This window comes from Homo sapiens, chromosome 13, assembly GCF_000001405.40.
Source record: "Homo sapiens chromosome 13, GRCh38.p14 Primary Assembly".
NCBI classification, from domain to species: domain Eukaryota; kingdom Metazoa; phylum Chordata; class Mammalia; order Primates; family Hominidae; genus Homo; species Homo sapiens.
In genome coordinates this window covers 98572743-98590138 of record NC_000013.11, presented here as the reverse complement: position 1 = coordinate 98590138, position 17396 = coordinate 98572743, and the positions used below count along the sequence as shown (strand labels likewise).

General features: G+C 46.3%; 1 protein-coding gene and 1 long non-coding RNA gene across 3 annotated transcripts in view, besides 5 other annotated features; one reads left to right on the top strand and one right to left on the bottom strand.

Moving 5' to 3' along the window:
- Positions 1-11297: 11297 nt before the first annotated feature.
- On the bottom strand, positions 11298-12884 carry STK24-AS1 (STK24 antisense RNA 1). Its single transcript, NR_046542.1, has one exon. It is a non-coding gene; the product is annotated as an STK24 antisense RNA 1 (long non-coding RNA).
- Positions 12319-12508: an enhancer, noted in NCBI's record as "active region_7919". NCBI's record gives its function as "activates an Ori minimal core promoter by ATAC-STARR-seq in GM12878 lymphoblastoid cells {active_cell/tissue: GM12878}" and the evidence as "EXISTENCE:reporter gene assay evidence [ECO:0000049][PMID:35858748]".
- Positions 12599-12748: a silencer, noted in NCBI's record as "silent region_5460". NCBI's record gives its function as "represses an Ori minimal core promoter by ATAC-STARR-seq in GM12878 lymphoblastoid cells {active_cell/tissue: GM12878}" and the evidence as "EXISTENCE:reporter gene assay evidence [ECO:0000049][PMID:35858748]".
- Positions 12769-13078: a silencer, noted in NCBI's record as "silent region_5459". NCBI's record gives its function as "represses an Ori minimal core promoter by ATAC-STARR-seq in GM12878 lymphoblastoid cells {active_cell/tissue: GM12878}" and the evidence as "EXISTENCE:reporter gene assay evidence [ECO:0000049][PMID:35858748]".
- The window catches only part of STK24 (serine/threonine kinase 24), a 131923-nt gene continuing 127558 nt past the window's right edge, over positions 13032-17396 (top strand). For both annotated transcript variants that reach the window (NM_001286649.2, NM_001032296.4), the window contains exon 1: positions 13032-13394. In NM_001286649.2, the coding sequence (NP_001273578.1) occupies positions 13353-13394 (42 nt within the window). In that variant the 5' untranslated portion in view covers positions 13032-13352. The remainder of the gene's footprint in view (positions 13395-17396) is intronic.
- Positions 13129-13998: a silencer, noted in NCBI's record as "silent region_5458". NCBI's record gives its function as "represses an Ori minimal core promoter by ATAC-STARR-seq in GM12878 lymphoblastoid cells {active_cell/tissue: GM12878}" and the evidence as "EXISTENCE:reporter gene assay evidence [ECO:0000049][PMID:35858748]".
- Positions 15463-15522: a silencer, noted in NCBI's record as "silent region_5457". NCBI's record gives its function as "represses an Ori minimal core promoter by ATAC-STARR-seq in GM12878 lymphoblastoid cells {active_cell/tissue: GM12878}" and the evidence as "EXISTENCE:reporter gene assay evidence [ECO:0000049][PMID:35858748]".

Here is a 17396-nt window from a genome sequence, read left to right as displayed (position 1 = left end):
GTTGGTGGCATGAGCCACCACACCTGGCCAGAATTTTAACTCTTTTTTATAGTTTCCAATTGTCTCAAAATTCTCCATCTTGTCATTTAATCTCTTGAATGTGTTAGTCATGTTGATTCTAATTTCATGCTCAGCACTTCCATGTCTCCTATGCGTGAGTTCACATTGTATGCTTCTTCTCCCGGCTTTTGTCAAGTGTTATCTTTTTGTATACCTGATTTTATTTTGTAAGTTCTATTCTACTTTTCTACTTTGCCTGGAGTATTTTTTATTGAGTACCACACATAGTGTATGAAAAAATGCAGAGATGGTTTGAGGCTTTAGATGATAGTATCTTCCTCCAGAGAGGATTCATGTTTACTTCCGGCATAAAGTGGGCTAGGGGAGGCCGGGCACGGCGGCTCACGCCTGTAATCCTAGCACTTTGCCGGGCCGAGGCGGGCGGATCACCTGTGATCAGGAGTTCGAGACCAGCCTGGCCAACATGGCGAAACCCCATCTCTACTAAAAATACAAAAAAATTAGCTGGGTATGGTGGTGCTCACCTATAGTCCCAGCTACTTGGGAGGCTAAGGCAGGAGAATCTCTTGAACCCGGGTGGCAGAGGGTGCAGTGAGCCAAGATTGCACCACTGCACTCCAGCCTGGGAGACAGAGTGAGACTCCGTCTCAATTTAAAAAATAAATAAATAAATAAAAATAAGTGGGCTAGGGGCATAAGATCTTAATCTAATTTTTTGAGCTGATTTGAAGCTGGACTTCATTCCTTGTGAGAGTTAGTCTATTTTCCATTCACCCTTACTCTAAGAATGGAGTGCTTTGTGGTCCCAATCAAAAGCCTGGATTGTTTGCCAGAACTTCTCTTCCATAAAGGGCACTGAAACCCAAACTGTGCCCACCTGGCCCTGTCAAAGTGCTAAACCTCTGTTTTCCCTTTTGCCACTCAGTTGTCTTCCAAATTAGCAACTGCCTCAAGGAGAGATGCAGTGCCCGGTGCCAGGCTTGCCTCTCTTAGCTTCCATCTCTTCTGGATCTTGGCTCTACAAATTGCCTTGCTAGTTCTCTGATAATTCCAAGCACATGGGTTTTGGATTTTCCCTTGTTAACTATTCTGTCTAGCTTTTCTAGTCATTCTTAATGGCAGGATTGCTCTGAAATAAACTAGTCAGCCATATCCAGAAGCAGAATTCTACATATACATGAGTGAAAAATGTTATCATAATATAAATACTTTCTAATAACTTGCTTTTCTCACTTATCCATATATGAACCATCCACATCTTTCATAAGTATGTCAATATTAATTTGTGCAATAATTTAATGCTAGATAGAATTTCTACCATTCTATGATTGTAGCATAATTTTTAGCCAAATGGTTATAATTGTGTATTTCAAGCATTTTTCAATTTTTTCTCTCTTATAAACAGCAATATGATCTCATCTTCATATATACATTTGTAAGTAGTTGTAATTATATCCTATGTATCATATCTCAAAGTAAAAATTTATTTAAAAAGTATGAATATTTGAAAGGTTTTCTTGTTTCACTAAAGGTCCCTCTAGGAAAATCATACTAATTTATATTTCTACCAGTGGTACATAAGTGCCAATTTCTCTTTCTTTATTTTTTTTTTTTTTTTTGAGATGGAATCTCGCTCTGTCACGCAGGCTGGAGTGCAGGGGGGCAATCTCAGCTCACTGCAACTTCTGCCTCCCAGGTTAAAGCGATTCTCCTGCCTCGGCCTCCAGTGTAGCTGGGACTACAGGCCTGTGCCACCACACCTGGCTAATTTTTTTGTATTTTTAGTAGTGACAGGTTTTGCCATGTTGGCCAGGCTGGTCTCGAACTCCTGGCCTCAACTGATCTGCCTGCCTTGGCCTCCCAAAGTGCTAGGATTACAGGCTTGAGCTGCCACGCCCAGCTGATTTCCCTATATTTTTAAGCTTTTTTTTTTTTTTTTAGAGACAGGGTCTCACTGTGTCACCCAGGCTGGAGTACAGTGGCGTGATCATGGCTAACTGTATCCTGGAACTCCTGGGCTCAAGGGATCCTCCTGTCTCAGCCTTCCAGGTAGTTGGGACTACAGGAACCTACCGCTACACACTATACCTGGCTTTTTTTTTTTTTTTTTGGTTGGGGGGTTTCACTCTGTCACTCAGGCTGGAGTGCAGTAGCGTGATCATGGCTCACTGCAGCCTTGACCTCCACAGGCTCATGTGATCTTTCCACCTCAGCCTCCCAAGTAGCTGGGACTACAGGTGCATGTCACCACACTTGGCTAATTTTTATATTTTTTTGTTTTTGTTTTTTTGAGACAGTGTCTCACTCTCATCCAGGCTGGAGTGCAGTGGTGTGATCTCAGCTCACTGCAACCACCGCCTCCTGGGTTCAAGTGATTCTCCTGCCTCAGCTTCCTGAGTAGCTGGGATTACAGGCATGCACCACCATGCCTGGCTAATTCTTGTATTTTCAGTAGAGACAGTTTTCACCATGTTGCCCAGGCTGGTCTCGAACTCCTGACCTCAAGTGATCCTCCCACCTCAGCCTCCCAAAGTGCTGGGATTACAGGTGTGAGCCGCCACCATGCTCGGCCTAAGTATTTTCTAAATAATTCTATTATTAAAACTCAGTATTCTCTATTAAAGCTTGCCTGCGTCTGACTTATGAACAAGTATTTTCTACACGATTCTTTTATATTCTTATGGTGGGAACACTGTTGGGGTCACAAAGAAAAAAAATAAACTTGCACCCTGACTTTCCAGAGCTCATGATTCCTCACAGATGGTCTTCCATGACCCCCTTTTCATGAAGGTCCATGGTGATGTTCCTGGAAGGCCTGAATCCTCTGTAGACAGGTTCACCTCCTTGAGCTCTTACCAGTTATAGATGTATTTTGGACCTTGCCTTTATCTTGAACTACAATTATGTATTACAGCTCACAGTCCAGGATGGCTCCTTTATCTCTTTCTGTCGACGCTACATATTCACATAAGATGGCTGTAGTTTCTTTTTATTCCTTTATGTTACTCTCTTAAACTTGTCCTGTTTGAACCCTATTCTATGGTTCTTACCACTCACCCAGTTTACCAAAATCACTCACTCAGGTCAGAGGTCAACAAACTATGGCTCCCAGGTACAAATCTGTCCTGCCACCTGTTTGTGTAAATAAAGTTTCATCACAATACAGTCATGTTCACTCTATAGGTATTGTCTATGGCTGCTTAGTGATATCACTGTGGAGTTGGGTAACTGGGGCAGAGACCACAAGGTTCATGAAGCCTAAAATATTTACTTTCTGGCCTTTATGGAAAAAGTTTGCCAGCCCCTGATCTAAAGGCTGGCTATCCTTCTAACTCTATAAGAAGATCTTGAACTTCATAAAGATTTCCTCACTGCCAGATTAAGCAGCTGCACAAACCAAACCCCCAGCTCCCCCACTCCAGTGGATACAGAGCTCTTATCTGCTCAGTATCACTTTATTTAGGGCTTTAGGGCGTACCACCCCCTCCTTCCTGAATAAATCATTCTCAGTTTCTGGATTCAGATGAGATTATCTTGTCCCCTCCCACCACCCCAGGCCACTCAGAGTCCTCCCTGCGACTCTTGGCAGATCTGTCATGAAAGACAGCTCCCTTTAATCTAGGCTCTCAACCTGTTAGCATGATGAAGGCCTAAGGCTGACAGCAACTGTCTTGCTCCCATATGGAAGGAGCCCACCTAATAGTTATGCCAGCAGAGGTCAGGGAGCCAAAATAGGAACCCACAGAGTCCTGATTCCCTTCTTTGAATCCCTAGATGGACTATTCAGAAGCCAGCTTCATGTTCTGCAATTTTCTTCTTAAAACTTGACTGTGACTGATTCATAAATACTAGAATTCCCTGTTACATGAGCCCATTAATTACTCTTTCTGCCTAAGTTAGTTTTCACAGGGTTTCTGTGAAACTGAAAGAGTCTGGACAAGCATAAAAACTGGGACCATGGCCAGGTGTGGTGGCAAACACCTGTAATCTCAGCCACCCAGGAGGCCGAGGCAGGAGAATGGCTTAAGCCCAGGAGTTCGAGGTCACAGTGTGCTATGATTGTTTCATTGCAGTCTAGCCTGGGTGATAGAGCAAGACCCTATCTCTATTAAATAAATACATAGAAACCGGGACCAGGAGTGAAAGGTGCCAGAAGAAAATTGATTAGGTAAATGGTATGCATGAGGCTGAGTGGAAGACAGCAGAAATCTCAGAGTTTGGGAAGTTGATGAGCCTTGGTGCCAGTGAACCTCGATTTGAAGCTGGCTTCATAGACCAAACCTCCAACTCCCCCATTCCAGTGGATACGGGACTGTTATCTGTTCAGTGTCACTTTTTTTAGGGTATACCATCCCCTCCTTCCTGAATAAATCATCCTCTGTCCCTAGATGCAGGAGGGATGATTTTATCCCCTCCCACCACCCCAGGCCAATCAGAGTCAGGTATCTCTTGTGCCTTTGGACTCAAATCACTTATAGACTTTGGATCTGGGAAGTGCAGAGAATGAAGTTTTACAATGGTGCTTCCTCATCGACATCAAGAAACACAGTCTGTGTCAGGCACCACTGATCTAAATAGATGAGGGTGCTCCCTGCCAGAGGCAATTGGCCTGGAGGCTTTCAATACCAGGCACTGCCCAGCTGTCTGGGACTCGGGGCACGGACGGCCACCGTAATGGTGTGCCACACAGCCCAGTGTTTAGGAAGTTCTTAGTCTAAAAAAACCAGGCTGAGTGTGCTGATTACTTTTGTGGCTTTCAGTAAGTTGCAAGAAGAAATAGACAGGCTTCAGCCGAATTGGCACATCAGGAGGCCATGCAGTCTTGGATAAAAGCCACGGAATCTTGCAGAAGGAGGACTTTCCAGCCTGCACCAACAATCCCAAATTGGAAGAGGCATGTTTCCTGCAGAATGCAAAAGCTGTATGAACGCTCCCAAGTTGGAGTAAGTGAGAGTTAGTCAGAGAGGCGGGTAAACACCTGGGAAGTAAGCCTGAGAGCAGGCTTACAGGCTGGGTGTGTGACCTGCATGGTCACACATCACCCCACACTTAGAAGGGCCCTATGCTTGGTTTACTGCTCTATTCTCATAGTCTTTAAACTATTAATATGCTTTGAACAAGGGCACACATTTTTATTTTGCAAATGTAGCTGGTCCTGCCTGGGACTCTGGAGAAGTCAGAGAATCAAGTGACCCTGATCCTCCAAGATCCTTGGATCTAGCACCAGGCTCCTCCCTCCTCCTGCTGAGTACTAATTACTGGCTGAGTAATAATTTCCCCCATTGCCAGGCCTGGGGTATATCCAGGGAAACAGGGGCAGATTAACCCTGCCTATCACCTCAATCAACTCACTCAGAGGCAGAGAACTACCCTGAAAGAATAAGACCTTGGGCCCTAAGGGGCAGAGGGCTGAGCTTCCAGTGATGAGGTTTAGATTCAAAAGCCTGGACTCAATAAGCTTCTGGCTGCGGTTTCTTCTCAGTTTTCAAGGGAGTTATATCACCAGGACAGTCCCAAACTTGATGACTGTTTAATTCCCTAAGCCCATGGCTCTCAAACTCTGTCCCAAGGTGCTCTTGGGTACTGCAGAAAATTCAGAGGTGCCCATATGCAATATTTTACTTTTTTTTTTTTTAGGAAATATAGTGAGATTCAACATCTGTCAGATGCCACACTGACGGGTAGCTCAGGTTAACATTAGATCATGCTATATTCTTTTCAGTGGTGTCATATTATTTGCAAAGTGGTTGCTTATATTTTTGGAAGTTATTGTGATTTAAAAACACACAAAAAATCAATGTGGAACAAAAAACGAAGGTGGCAATGTCCACTGTGATTCAAAGATTGGGAAGTTGTGCAGTGTCCAACAGGAACACATGTCCCATCAGTAATTGGGATTACTTAAGAATACAATGAAACTATTATTTTTAAATGTACAGTACTATTTCTTCAAATGGCTAAGTTACTAAGACAGGAGTCCATATTAATTTGTTTGTACCTATTTTCTTAAATTTTTTTTTTGAGACACAGTTTCATTCTGTCATCCAGGCTGGAGTGCAGTGGCACTATCTTGGCTCACTACAACCTCCGCTTCCTGGGTTCAAGCTATTCTCGTGCTTCAGTCTCCCAAGTAGATGAGATTACAGGCACCTGCCACCATGCCCAGCTAATTTTTGTATTATTAGTAGAGATGAGGTTTTGCCATGTTGGCCAGGCTGGTCTTGAACTCCTGACCTCACGTAATCCACGTGATCCACCTGCCTCGGCCTCCCAAAGTGCTGGGATTACAGGCATGAGTCACTGCACCCAGCCTCTATTTTCTTAACTAATTGGCCTGTTAGGTATTTCCTTTGGCCCAGAGATACTATAAAAAAAGTCACTGAGGCACTAAGGGTGCTATGAAGGAGAACATTGGGAACTCTGTTCCAGGATATTCCCCAGAACCCCACATCTTCACCAACAGGAGGTGGGCTGGTCAGTCTGTCCCAGAATTCTCTCCAAGGTGGCCATGGAGGACCACATAAAAGGGAGCATCTCCCAAAGAGCAGAGCCAAGTGCAGCCCAAGGGCTGACCCAGGCCCCCCGACCTTATCTTCCAGAAAGGTTTCATGTACATTACGGACTGATGGATGCCTGCTCCCTTCCTTTTCTTTTCCTTTCAAATGAGAGTTTTTAAGGTAGTTTTCAAACATATCCTCCTCCATAATATATTAAACACATGAAGGGTGATCACATTTACCAATTAGAGATTGCTGGCCTGTGAAGAGCCATATCTCAGCTTGAAAAAGAGAAAACCAGATTGTCCAGAGCCCCTGGACCAGGAAACAAATGGCCTCAGTAGAAGGCAGTAGGGTTGACTCGCTGTGGGGAAGAGGTGAGTGTATAAATGGTTACTCATGGACTGGCTGTATTATTTGGGGAGGGGAGTACACACAAGAAGTTCTACATATGGAAAAAGAGAACGTGTGTGTGCGTGCGTATGTGTGCATGCATGTCTGGGCAGCCAAGAAGTGGAATGTATTAGGCCAGGAATCTTCTTTGCGTGGGGGAACTGCCCCTTCCACATTCCATTGTTCCATTATGCCGTTCAGGTTGGACTCTCCCATTACTGTGCCTTCTTGCCCTTTGGTCCCAAGAATGGACATGCACAGATGTGAATTCCTCCACTACATTTGGCATATGGGCACTGGGTAAGAAAAGGTCACTCTCTTCTCTCTGGGATTACAAGGACCACATGGGGCAGCTCTTGACACCATACCTAGAGAACCTAGATGAGAGGTTCTCATCTAGGAGAGGCTGAGAAGAGGTGAGAGGCAGAGGAAGACAGAGTTGATTTTATCATTGAACTCATCTTCTTGGATTGATCCAAGCCTGATTTAGCCAAGTGTTGATTTTTGTTGCTGAACTAAAATGTCCCTTTTTTGCTTATGGAGGTCTGAGCTAAGTATTTGTCATTTGTTATTCAAAGACTTCTGACTAACAGTATCTCCAACGTAGCTTCTTTGGGAAACCAAATTTAAAAAATGGCAGGAAAATTAAGGTAAAAGACAACATGCTTGCCCTTTTTGCAGGTGAAGCTTTGATGATAGGGTAGTGTATAGGTCAACATTTTTGTGATGATTTTAAGCTGACTTAAGTTTTGTGCATTGTGGAATGAGTATCTGCAACTCATAGGCACATTTTACCTTTGTGTGCTTGTACAATGATCTTCAAGCACATAATCCCCTGGATCTGGTTGAAGTGAAAATTAAAATGATTTCTTACAATTTGTCTTCCTTGTCAGAAAACAGGGCCAAGAGCTTTTAAAAACTAGTGCTGCAGTTGTGTGACTGTAGGCTGGATGACATCATCCTTCTGGGGATGATTTCATGTATGCCCTTTCTGGGTATGTCTGAAAGCAAATCCAGCTTCAAGAGGAAGGGAAATCTACACACACAGCTCTTGATGAATCTTTGCATACTGAAGTCTTTATGAGCAGATTGGCAGGGTCAAGTGGCCACTGTTTAGAGGGTGACAAGCCCTGTTCATTGGTTCTTTGCCAAGCAAAATTGCACATGAGAATTTTTCTAGTGAGCTCGTTCAAGTGAGTCCTTCTAAACAGCCTGATGTTCCCTGGTGTGAGCCCCCAGAACTGCAGCAGAGAGCATGTGCAACAAAGAGCCCCCTTGGAGGCTCAACCCCCAACTCCCCTGGTAAATTGCACCTCCCAACACAGGGGAGGAGGCAGTGGGGGAGAAAGATGGATCTTGTTTAAATCTTTTGCCTGAACTGAGTATGGATAGGCCTGCAAAATATTCTGAACCCTTTTCTGGCAGATTTTTGTCACGTGTTCCAGATGATTTCTTTTAATCAGGAATATTTTATCAAGCAAACACCTATGCATTCTCTGTTTCTGCTCTCAGTTGTACAGTGATTGGAGACTAGTGTTCTGGTTTCTATGCAAGATAAAGTTTAAGGCCTACACCCAAGGAAATATGAAGCAATGCTTATTAGCAGAAGTGTGCAATGTGAAGTGCGCAGAAAGGTCCACAGGCCTTGGCAAGGGAGAAGGAAGCTCTCATTCCTGAAGCTGAGCCTGGAAGACCCAGCTAAAGGGGGGCTGACCAGACACACATTTGCAGAAAAGGAGGTGTGTTACGGGCTGACTTGTGTCCCTCCAAAATTCCTATGCTGAAGTCCTAATTCCTAGTACCTTAGAATGTGGCTGTATTTGGAGATAGGAACTTTAATAAGGTAACTAAGCAAAAATGAAGTAATTGGGATGAGCCTTAATCCAGTACGACTCCGGTATCTTTCTAAAAACAAAGAATTAGGGCCAGGCGTGGTGCCTCACACACTCTGGGAGGCCAAAGTGGGCAGATCACTTGAGGCCAGGAGTTCGAGACCAGCCTGGCCAACATGGTGAAACCCCGTCTCTACTAAAAATACAAAAATTAGCCGGGTGTGGTGGCGCTCGCCTGTAGTCCCAGCTACCAGGGAGGCTGAGGCAAGAAAAATGCTTGAACCTGGGAGACAGCGGTTGCAGGGAGCCGAGATCTCACCACTGCACTCCAACCTGGGCAACAGAGCGAGACTCCATCTCAAAATAAATAAATAAATAAATAAATAAATAAATAAATAAATAATAAAAACAGGAAATTAGGACACAGGAACACACAGTGAAGACCACGAGAACACAGAGGGAGAAGCTGGCCGCTACAAGCCCGAGAGAGGCCTCGGAAGAAACCAATCTTGCTGACACCTTCATCTTGGACTTCCAGCCTCCAGAATGGTGAGGAAATAAATTTCTGTCGTTTTGGCCATCCAGTTGGTGGTTCTTTGTTACGGCAGCCCTAGCAAACTAAGGCAGGGTGCAACTGAAAACCTACTTAGGGTGATATCCCTGCAAGAGCCTGCCCTCTGAGCTCTCCACGCACAGAATGAAACCTTATTGGTACCATTCCTCAATGTAGCTGGGATATTTTTCTGGGGCTTTGGCATACCTTTTCTTGCTATTGTGTCATCCAACAATGACTAGACATTCTTCTTTAAACTGATCTTGATAATTTGTCTTCACCTACTGAACATGTGTAGAAATTTGTCTAAGCCTTCTGTTAGTTACTTATCCAAGCTACTCCTATTTCTCCCTTTAAAGTTCACCATGTAAGTCCCTTTCTTTAATCTCTGAATTTAAATTGCTAATGCTCTACTTGTCTAGCTGTTCTTTATAAAGCAGCATTTGGGGGTGTTTATCTTTTCAACTTAGAAAGAAAAGTGAAGGGATTGATTGTGGAATTCTTGTTTTCTGTTCCTCTCTGAGCTCTGCTGAGAGTGCGTACAAACTAGCTTAGGGGCAGCAAATACATAGGGGCTTTATATTTGGAGGGGCTCCATATAGGGGTATGGAAATATTCTTTGTGGTCCAGAATATATTTCAGATCATAATTCATTGCCAGACTGATGTCCTTAAGTGAACACAAAAGACAAAGAGGACCAGGGAAGAAAAATAATTCAATGGATAAAGTAAATAACTCAATGGGTTAGTATCTCCATGGAGACCATAAAATGCATCATCTCTATGGAGACTCTCATAATCTCCTTCTGGACTTACGGTAGTGTATAACCTGTTGTAATCATACATTGGGGGTGGAGGGAAAGTGACAAGAGGAAGAGGGTGAGAGGATGATCCTTTTCTTTCCTTGGTGGAAATGATAGCTATTGCCACTCTAAGTTTAATCAATTATGGTATTGTATTCATCCAAAGTTAGGATTCTGGGAGACCAGGTCCCTAGGATGGGTTAAGAGGCACCTGAGGATCTAATGTTTATATGCCCAGTACTGAACTGGGTATCTGACATGTATTAATAGTTGGTATTCAAAAAAGGTGTGAATGAATGAACATAATAGGCAATTGCACCGGATCTGATCCCGGGCTCAGGCCCTGTGCATCATCTCTGTTGTGCAAAAACAAATAAGGTGGAGACCTACTTCTGCCATGGGGAATACTCGGTACTACCTGCATAGGGCCAAGGAGAACCAGTAACTCCCATGTTGCTTCCTTCCCTTCTTTCGATAAGAATGGTGCTCAACAGTATGAACATTGTCAAAGGATGAAACAATGGTCAGTGTGGAGAGAAGATAAACAGGGTTCGGGGCAACAGACCAGCTAATGGATGCAAGTCACTGTGTCCAGAGAAGTTACATCCTGCCGGAATCTCCCTGTTTTGAGCCTCACTAGCCTCAGGACACAAACTAGGATTCCGGTTATTTTTTTATACCCAGGGTACTATGGGCCTTTGTCCCCCATCTGCTGTGACTTATTTGCTGGCAATTAGCCCACTGCAAAGTGATTTCTGAGCATTTACCATGGTAATGTCTCAGATCAGCATCCAGACATTTCCATCCATTCATCTAGTTTCTTGCTCTTTATCTTGGTGCCAGGTTATTGCCCTGGCTCTGCTGACCCTAGAAGAATATTTTTACTGTCCCTTTTCTATGCTTAGACATGTTTAGATCCACAAATATTTACCATTGTGTTATAGTTGCCTCCAGTATTGAGTTCAGTCACATGCTGTTCAGGTTTGTGGTCCAGGTGCAATACGTCATACCATATAGCCTAGGTGTGTAGTAGGCTATGCCATCTAGGTTTCTGGAAGTACACTCTATGATGCTCACGTGACAAAATCAACTAAGAACACATTTCTCAGAATGTATACCCATTGTTAAGCAATACATGACTGTGTGTCTGTAGGCCATATATATTAATATATATATAGTCATTTGAGATCAGTCTATATACAGTGTTTTGTACCCTGTATTTTCTTTAATAATATATAATGAATACATTTTCCCCATTACTAGGTACTGAAAGACATAATTTTAAATGACTACATAGTACTCGTATGAAAATGCTATTATTTACTTAACCTCTGTGAGACTTTTTGGCTGTTCCGTTTCCCCAGGATTCTAAACATCACTGTGTCTTCTTACATGCATTCTTCCACACTTCTTGGTTGTTGCCTTAGGATATGTTACTTTAGGTAGAATTCCTGGGCTGCGCTGAAGAATAGAAACATTTTAAAGATTCACATTCTTGCTTGTTTTGCTGTTCGCCTCTTTAGGTACCATATTTTTTAGGTGTACAAAATTTATACACCTGATTTTAAGTTCCTGGGTATCAGGGTTCATACTTCTCTTAATTTTGTATTTCCTTGCAGTCCTACTTACGGGTGGCAGGGCTCCTCAAGGGATGGGTGTACCAATGACAACCATGAAAGTATTCTAAGGTATTCCCTAGGACTCCGAGAAAAAACATGCATCTTTCCAAAGGGAAAGAAGGGATTAGATGTTAGCATCCTACTCCATGTCAGATCCAGAGCACCCGGGGGAACTGAAGTTCGTGGATGGAATACAATGACACCTCAGAAAAGAAATACTCCTTTGGTGGAGGCCTTTAAACTTTTGGGGGCTCATTTTGTCTGCCTAACTCGCCCAGCCAGGGCGCAAAATGGCCACTTAGGAGCATGAGTGAGGTGCCAGCGTCCCTACAATCTAAGGAGCAGGGAGTCATCACTGGGGTGGCTGCCGCTCTACCTGTTTGCGACTGTAATAAAACACCTTCTGGAGGCCGAGGGACCCGCTTCATCCTGACTTTTCCCCTCAGTAGCTAGAGAGAAGGCGGCTGAAAAGAGGAGACAGAACTGGTGCTGAGTGGGCCTGGAGCTTCCGAGGCAAGGGAAAGAGGGAGAGGGCTGCAGTTCAAAGTCCAGACGCGCTTTCCTTCCATTCTCTTCCCTTCCTCCCTGCCCTCTGCGCCCCATTTTCCCCTTATCGTGGGTGGGGGCTTCTGATTTGCTGCGGATCCCAGAGATGGTGGGGTTCAGCCTCCGCACTGCTTAGCTAAGTTCCCAGCCCAGCAGTCCCAGCCGGGCTGTTTTCGGTAACCAAAGCACTAGGAATTAACCTCTCTCTCGGCCTCTTCCCTTTCGGTTTCCTTCTTGGGTTGGCTGGAAACTTCACCCAGACACCGAAGCAGCTCTGCCCGGCCTTTTGGCACAGGCCACCGGCCGAGGCCCCACGGGGCGCTCTCCTTCCCCAGGTGCCCCCGACTCCGATCCTGCCCTCAGGGGCTCGCCCGGGACGCGTTTTCCCAGAGGCCGCCGGGGCGGGGTGGGCTGGCTGGCGGGAAGAGGGGGCCGCGGCCCAGGCTCGCCCCGGCGCCGGCCCGGTGGGCACGCGGCCAGCCTCCGGCCCCGACTCGGTCCCTCCCGGCGCCCGCCCCAGCCGAGGCCCCCTCCCGGCCCCGCCGCCCGCCCGCGGGGGCGTGGGAGCGCCGCAGGAGCAGCTGGGACCCGGGCCGGGCCGACAGGCGGCGGCTGCGGCCTAGGGCTCCCGCGCGGCCACCGGCCTCTCCCCTCCCCCTCCCGGAAGCGCGGGGCGGGGTCCCCGGCCGGGCCGTGGGGGCGGGCGCGGGGGCCGGGCCGGGGCGGGACGCGCTCGGCGCTCGCGGGCTCGGCGGGCTGTGCGCGCCCACTCCGGCTCCAGCGGCCAGCGCGCGCGGGCCCAGGCCGCCCGGCTCCAGCCCAGCAGTAGCGGCAGCAGCGGCGGCGGCGGCAGTGCGCGCGAGGCCCTGCGCCCCCAGCAGCTCCTCCCTGGCGCCGTGCATGGAGACGCGGCCCGCCACCCGCCGCTGAGCCCCCGCCGCCCGGCCGGGACCCGCCAGGGCTGGGGTGGCCTCGGGCTCCGGCCGGCCCCGCCGCCCGAGGGCTGCGCGCGGCCCGCGGGCCTCGCCGCCCCGCGCGGATCGTCGCGGCCCGGCCGTCCCGTCCCAGGAAGTGGCCGTCCTGAGCGCCATGGCTCACTCCCCGGTGCAGTCGGGCCTGCCCGGCATGCAGGTAGGCGGGCGCGGGCCGCGGGGCCGGGATGCGCGACCGGGGCGGAAGCAGCAACTTGGCGGTATCCACACGGCGTCCCCCTACGCTCAGCCGGCCGGGGTCGCGCCGGAGCCTGGCTCCCCGCGCGCCCGGCTCGGCCGGGGGTCCGAGTCCGAGTCCCTGGGCGTCCCTGCCGGCTCCGGCGGCCGAGGTCTCCGGCGTGTGCGTGCAGGAGCCGTAGGAACCGCGGCCTGGGTCCGGATGTGGGGGTGCGGGCGCCTAGTCCTCCGCGCTCCCCTCGCCCCAACACTCTTCCGGAGCTGCAGGCCCTGGGTGGCCCTGTCCCCGGGAGAAGTGAGGTGGAGTGATGCCCTTGGAGGCCCCCGCCGGGTCCCGGGGCCCTGCGTGGTGGCCGGGTTGGCGGAGGGCCCCAGGACGCGTCCCCCAGGCTCGTCCCCCACCCCCGGGCAGGCGGGCGGGAGACCTGGGCAGGGCGGGGACGGGGAGCGCGCCTGGACTCGTCCGGGCCCGAGCGGAGTAGGCAGGGTGGAGTGGAGGAAGGTAACCGCGAGTTCCACTTGCAGTGGCTTTGCCCGGAGCCCCCGTGCACCTGCGGACCGGGGGAAAGTGCGAGTTGCAAACCTTCTGGAAGGAGGAATCCCTCGGACAGCCGCGCACCAGGGTCCCGGGCCCGGCCCCGGGACCCTGGACTTTCACTTTGAGACTTGGTTGCATTTACAGGAATTCTTCGCCCAGTAAACCTCTCTTTCGGTACTTGGTGACACCTTGGCCTACCAGTGACTTTTTGGGGAGTGGGAGAGGAGTTGAATTTCAAATTTACATGTATAAGTTAAAGGTTTTTTGTTGTTGTTGTTTTCGTTGTCGTTGCTTTTAGCCCTTTGAAAAACAAAGCTACCGTCCTTGGCTAACTCTTGTAAACTTTGTAGGCGCAGAAATGGTGGCAAAATGCTTAGGATGGAAATCTTAGGATGCAGTTAGGATATGTCATGAAAGTTTGCTCTGCCAGTTTAGCTGAGTGAACGTTAAGTGTTTGAAGAAAACCAAAAGCATCCAAGTAGATTACTGGTTGATTTACAGGTACCAACAGGCTCCTTCCCTGTGTCTTGAGGGCTGAGAAGCACAGAGCCCAGACCTGGGACTGCCTCTGGGGTCTGCTCGCCTCTTCCAGTGAGATCATCCCTCTCCCTTCTTTTTTTGAAACCGTAAAAAGAAAACTGGATTTCACTGTTCAGGTTTGAATTCTGGAAAAATAGGAACTCAAAGTTACCACTTTAATGGCAGCTAGAATTTTAGTCCAAGTGTGTGTGTGTGTATATGTGTGTGTGTGTGTGTGTGTGTATATATAAGCAGTATATATATGTGTGTATATATGTTTAAGCAGTAAATAAATATACATTTAAGCAGCAACAGTTAAGTTATTATCTTAAGAGTGACTGGGAAGATGCTTGAAGAATATTCTTTTGTCGACTCTCATTTAAGGAGCGTTGAATTTAGCATGCATTCAAAACCTAAACTTCTGCTGACTGCTGGGTAACAATCAGATGTGGTTTCTTGGTATTTTCTAAAGCCGCTTTGGTATGAATTTAGAGGTGTGTAGGTCAGAGTGAACTGGGTGAAAAAAGTAATTTCTTACTAGTCGAGCAAGAAAGGACTCTTGTAATGATTTAAAAAAAAAGTTTTATCAATATTTCCTTTAGGTTGATATTTATACCGTGTTCATCAGGTTGGAATCTAGCACAAATGCCTCACTTACTAGGTTAATTGGCCTTTGTGGATAGCGAATCAGTTTGAAAAGGTACTAAAGCCCCTTTGGCTGGTGCCGTGAAGTCAGTATCAGATGGTTACCAGGTGATATCTAGTATCTCACCTTTTCATTTTTATCCTCACTTTTTTTTTTGAGTGGGTCAGAATTCTTAAACCTTGGGAAAAGAAGATACATTTCCTTAATAACTTTGCCTCTCAACTATTATGTATCTGTTAGGTTGTGTTACATGGGAACTGTTTTTATTTTGTTTTCTCAGTATGAAAGATCTTAAGTGTTTCTCAGTGGAAAAGATGATCAGATTTTCAGCTGTTACAGTTTTACAGTTTTAGAGGTAGGTAAGTTGGCTTCTGCCAGTCATTCCTGTACCTAAGTACATCTACAGACTGTATGGTAACAGTGTATCATTTGGGGAAGAACATTCTTTTCTCCTCCCCCACCCCACAAAAGAAAAACAACAGCACATTTATTTTCTACTTCAAATTAGCAGTTGCTACTGCCCTGGGAGGCTTCCCTAAGAGTTGTTGCTGAAGATTCAATTAAAAACACACCTGCTTTCGACTGTTGTCTGCTAAATGGGAGGAGAGAAGTCCGTATCTCTTCTATGGCTTGCTCTGATAGGCCTCATAGCCCTCCCTTTTTCTTGTCTCCTGACCAGGGCTTATAAGGAGTTGGCTTAGAAAGACAGCAGAGTCTGTAATCTCAGCAGTTTGAGAGGCCGAAGTGGGCGGATCATGAGGTCAGGAGATCGAGACCATCCTGGCTAACATGGTGAAACCCTGTTTCTACTAAAAATCCAAAAAATTAGCTGGGCGTGGTGGCACACGCCTGTAATCCCAGCTACTCGGGAGGCTGAGGCAGGAGAATCACTTGAACCCGGGAGGCGGAGGTTGCGTTGAGCTGAGATTGTGCCGTTGCACCCCAGCCTGGGCGACAGAGGCAGACTCCGTCTCAAAAAAAAAAATAAAATAAAAAAATAAAGCAGAGTGAATTCAGGTGGCCTAGGCAAGGATGCTTGAAAAATAACAACCATGTTAGTATAAACACCATTTTTCAATGTTTTGCAAATCATTTTTATGCCTCTTGATTCTTACCGGTACCGTTTGAGATGTAGATGATATTATACCATTTTGTAGATGTGGAGACCAAGGAAGACTTAACTGACCAAGGTGAGATCATATATTATGTGGCAAATTTGTGATTGGAAACTACTACTCCTCCTACTCCCACTCATCATGCAGTGTTACTGTTTTATGGTTACTTTTGCAAACATTAAAGTTTATCTCATTGCTAGTTAGATTGGCTAAAGAAATTAGAAATAGGAGGCTGATTTTTTAATTTATTCAATCAGCAACCCTTATTGAACTTTCATGTGCCAGGTCCTAGGGGAGGGGTTGAAAGTGGTAGATCTGAATGAGGTTACCATTTAAAGTAAATGTTTAATGAAAGTTGCTGAAGCCTTTGCTTTTTTTCTCTTAAACCCCAGTTTTATATTTCAGTAGGGGAAAAAAATAGACATCAGAAACTGAATGAATATAGTGACGAATAAACATAAAGAAATCAGGCTGATCTGTGGCTATAAGTACTCCGTCTTTCATTGAGCATTTGTTGTTTCACTCAATTGAGATTAAAAGAAAAGCTTCAGATGGAGGCAGGAACACCAATCGGCTTTGAGTTTGCAGAAATGTGATTTAAAAATGAGATTTTGGTTTGCACATTTCTGTTACAAAATTTTATCAGTCACTTTTCAACTTTTCTGAACCGTGACCCATGTAAGAAATATATTTTACATCAGGATCAAAAACAAGTTTCAGGAGACCGTACTAATCCTTACTACGGGTTGAGTATCCCTCATCCAAAATGCTTGGGACCACAAGTGTTTCGAATTTTGGAATATTTGCATTATATGCTTGTTGAACATCCGAAATCAGAAGTGCTCCCAATGAGCATTTCCTTTGAGTGTCATGTTGGCGCTGAAAAGTTTCATATTTTGGAGCATTTTGGATCAGGGATGCTCAGCCTGTGCTTGTGATGTGCTGTTGTGGTATATTTAAAAAAGGAGCTGGTTGCAACACTAGATTGATTTCACAGCCCACTGATTCCTGACCCACAGTTTGAAAAATACTGAATTATATACGTCACATGTATTGCATATTGCAGGGCCTGGTTAATTTACCATGTTTTGAAGTTGTAAGTTTAACATAGTTTCATATTTGAAAATACAGATAATTTAGAGGAAT